Below are 4,842 nucleotides of genomic sequence, written 5' to 3'. Positions count from 1 at the left end.
TTTTTCTTGATGAAAAAACATATATGCAAAAATAGCTGCAAATATGAAATAAATTTGCATTTGCAATTGCTTAATATATAAATAAGTAAAGACTTCTTCAAAATTAAACCATAATAAAGAAATCTCTCAATATATATTATGGAAAATGGTAAATTAGAGCTAATATTTATTCATGCTCACATTTTCTATATTGAAATATACTTAGAGAAAACGAGCCTATTTCTCTTAAGACTATTAGCACATACATACAAATTATTCACTGAAGCTATGGTAGAAATGTATGATTAGTGAGACTTGTTTTCAAATGTTTCGATGGAATGATTCCATTGAGAAGAATGTGTATGGTGGGAGTGTTTTAGACACACACAAAAAATGAAAGAAATAAGAACATCATGAGCAAAATGACAAATATCCATCAGCTTAAGCTGGTAGTTTTGACTAAAATTTTAACTAAAAACAATACAAAACGAAGACAAGAATAATTAAATATGTTCCTTCTTTACCTTGATGCATAGGCTTTGTAAGTCCTTGGGCTCATTTTGTTCACATATAGTAATGGTAATTTTCATATTTAGCCAGAAAGTTAATGAATGTGGCTGATGATAAGAAAGCCACTACAGTGGCTAAAGAAGACTAAATAGAAGATGAGCATTTTTCCCCTTAATACTTTACCAAATACCACAAATATTCTACTTCTGTAATATTTATTTTTCCTTTAATTTAGAGTGGGATAGAGAGACTTTTGTTGTCTGCTCAAAATAACTCTTACAGCTCTCTTCACTGCTGATATTTAACAGTAGCTCTTAGAAACTCTAAAAGCTGTAAGCTAACAACGTGGAGGCTATATATATTAATTGTCACGTTACAACCTTGTATGGCAACATTGGATGACTTTCATGCCAGCCTGCATTCATCTCTTTGGCTGTCAATAGGCCTTGATGGAGCTTTTAGACACTTATTAACATTTTATTGTGTTTTCCATTTACTCAACAATTACACAGTAATTGATTTAAAATTAATTATAATCTTATTAACATTATAATCTAACTAATTAGTACAACCAAATAAAATGCAAACAGTTATCCTGCTCTGTCTTTCTTTATTATTTGTTTATTTTATTTCTAATATTTTATTTTGGTTGTTGATGTTGTTTTAGATTTCTACATTATTTCCAATGATAGACAAAATGGTTTACTCCAGCTCATTATTTTAATGTGATATTCTCTAAAACTAAACTTTTGCCAGAGTATCCATGAACCTGAACAATCTAGTACTGCTAAGTTATTGAGGGATCGTCAATGGAAATACAAATGTGAAGTTTTCTCACAAAATAGAGTATGAATTTCAGAATAAAGGTAAAACCTTTTAAAAATATTTATAGAAATTTAACTATTGTGAGCCAAATAGAGTGAAAAGCATCCATTTATTCAGAAAAATTGGCTTGGAATTCCAGATCAGCTCCTTGTTAGATATGAGTCATGGGCAAACCACTAACCTATCTGTGATTAAGTTTAGACATCTGCACAAGTGGGGGTAATATGCTTGTGTTACTTACTTCTTACTGCCGTTAGGATGATCAATGGAGAAAACGAATGCAAGGTCCTTCTAATTCTAAAAAAAGTATGTACTAAAAGTCGTTAGGGGCTTTGAGTAATGCCTTTGATGAATCAGTTATATTGTTTTCTTCTGCAGAATGCCTTAGATATATTCAAAAACCTGGTATGCCAGGTGAGATGAAGAGACATCTTTAGCCCAGAGAATGTCTCAATAAATCAAATGATAAATGTACAATGATAGAATATATTCCAGTGTGACAAACATTTTCCCTAGTCTATTGATTTTTTAAAGCAGTTTACTATTCTTTAGGTACAAGATGGAGTTAAGACTTTAGAATCATCTTCTTAATTAAATAAGAGTACCAAGTTAATGAGGATGATGTAGTGAGTATGAGTAATTTTCACTTTTTTCATTACATTTAAGAAAAATTCTTATAACTTTTGTTACTTTTTAATAAAAATATAAACAGAAGTGTAAGGAAAAGGAGAATAATATGTAGGTTATATAAATTTTACTAAGAGAACTTATTTAACAGAAATCAGAAAATCTTTAATTTACCCTAACGATACCTTCCCAAATGGAATCTTGTGATAAATAAATAAATAAATGTTTTAAGTATTTGTAAATATTTTAAAACTATAAAGATAATTTAGTACATTTATACATTAACCTGAAATGACATTTTAAATATTATTTTAGGTAAGCACAATAACTCTGATATTTAAAACATTTATAGACATTTTTGTCAAGATGCAGAAAAAAAGTCAGAAGGGAAGCATGGTAATCTTATTAAAATTCAGAATTTTCTTGAAAGTAAATTCTGAAATATCAAATAAAAAATGAAAGTAATGTCACACCTTATTTCTTTGCTATACTCTAATCTCCAGTATTGACATTCTGTGCTATCATTTATGGTAATTATTGATTAATGCAATATATCTGACTATTTAATCTTTATTTTTCCAGTAGTTATTGCCAAGGAAACAATATTCATATATAAACAATTTATACAAATATATAAAATTTTGACTTGTTTTTCATGAAAGACAAAATAAATGTTTGGAGGACTAAATTAGAATAATTGGAGGTATTTTGAGAAAGTACATTTAATTATGAAGAATTTATAAACAAAGAAATAAATTTCAGGGTTTAGTTCAATATAGATTATTTGAATCACATCAGCTATATTCTTACCAGAGAGTAGTGAAGGCATTATTTTCTTATAACTAGAAGAAAAGAAAAAGAAAAGGAAGAAGAGAAAATAACTTAATAGAAATCCATTGCAAAATTCTTATAACATAAACTGAATATCGATATGCTTCATTCTAAATCTTGAATTACTATTTTTCAGAAATCTTAAGGTTTGTTTTCAAATGGCCTAAACAGTCAATGGAAGTATTTATAAAACAATTAATTCTTTTGTTGAATGTAACATTGTATACCTGACCTTATAAAAATAATAAGTAAAAATATGACTCTTGTACTTTCTTAATTTATTTTCCATTGTGGACCAAACAAACTTCAATTCATGTGAAGATTTTGTGTTAATCACCTCAGCTAATAAGTCTATAAATAAAATTATTAAAAAGTAATGATTTTAATATTTATATTTTGTAATAGCTAAAATCTGAATGCAAATGTGAAGCCAGAGACAGAGGACCAAAACTCTTGGAAATCTCTGGTACAGGTATGAAATGAGAGCTCATGAAGAAGTATTCTTGGGCTCGTTACTGAGGGATGCAATTCAGGTCAAAACCCAGAGAGACACTCTATACCCATGATGCTTTATAGTTAATAATAAAAAAAATTACAAGGGATCAAAAAGCAACAAACTACTTTTAATAGGAGCTTTGTGTCCAGGGTGCAGCTGGAGAGTCAAAAGGAGCCTGTAGACACGAGATCAGCTCCATATGAATTCATAAAACAGCACCAGCATCAGCCAGAGACTGAGTTTCTAAGTCGACACAGTTATGCTTAGCCACCTTCTTGGTAGTTAACCTGAGATAGCTGTGAGGAACACCCAGTAGACAATGATTTTATTCAATAGAGAGGTTTTTTTAAAAAAATTAAAAATTATGATTAAATTAGTTCACTGCTGAAAAATGGAAATGATATAGGATCAAGTAATGATTCATAGGCCATAGAAACTTTATCAGTATTTGTGTATGTAGCCAAAATATACACCAAAGTAACACACCAAAATTTTACAGACCCAAATGTCACACTGGGACTGGCACAACACCTAAAAATTAATGTGATGCTTAACTGAGCAGGGTTTTCTGTGGCTCCAAGGACCACTTTTATTTTTCAGCAATAAATAAAAAGTCACCCTCTGTTTTGTTAATATCAACTTTTAAAATAAATTACATTTTATTTACTACTATGTTAGCAGGCTTATTTTAAACATCATAAAAATTTCATTCAAGAAGAAGAGACAAAAAGTTTTATTCAAATTGATTCTGTAGCTTCACAAGCCTCTATGTTTTATTCTTAGACCTCCTTCTAGCATGCTGTATCCTTGCACAGCCAGAGACTAAAGTAGTACCAGTGTTCTTTCAAGCTTGCTCACAGCTGAGATGTCAACGGCCAATTTAATTCTAGTGATAAAGTGCATGAGCTTTGCTATCATTGCTAGTCTTTTCATTCGAAGAACAAAAATAAATATGTGATCTCAGTGTTATTTTGTCTATTCTAAACCTCTGATATGGTTCCAACACAAGTGCAAAATATGTTGTATTGACTTAAAAGGAACTGAATATTTCCACACTTCTTGATTTGTGTGAAATGTCAACTATTGTAAACTGCCTATCTGCAATCTGCTCAACACAGAATCCTATCTGGATAGAAACATTGAAGAAACAGGTGTTTGTTCAACTAGATCAAATATTGGAAGCATGACATTGCTGCACATTTAAAACAAAATATAAGCCCTATGGCAGTATAGTGATCCCAGTAGATGTAGAGATACCAGGTGTTGAAAGAAGGTTTCATATTGTTCCCGTTCCCTAAAATAGCCTTAATTCTGTGTTACTGGTGAACTTTTACTCACCAATTTTACTTTTAATCATTCAATTGTAAGATTAAATATGTCTTCTACAGAAAGTCTTCCTGATTCCTGTTAGCATCTCCTGAAGTACTCTATTTTTCTTGTTGTTAATAAAGTTTATTAATAATTTGTAATGTTATATTAGTTTTGGTGGGCATTTTGTGTGTGTGTCTTCACTAAATCGTAAGCTCTATCAGGTGAGGTTAATATATAAATGTTCACTGTGCTTAATTCAGCTC

Source organism: Homo sapiens, chromosome 1 (genome assembly GCF_000001405.40).
Source record: "Homo sapiens chromosome 1, GRCh38.p14 Primary Assembly".
In the NCBI taxonomy this organism is placed as follows: Eukaryota; Metazoa; Chordata; class Mammalia; order Primates; family Hominidae; genus Homo; species Homo sapiens.
The sequence above is the reverse complement of the archived record's forward strand: the minus strand, read 5'-3'. Positions refer to the sequence as shown.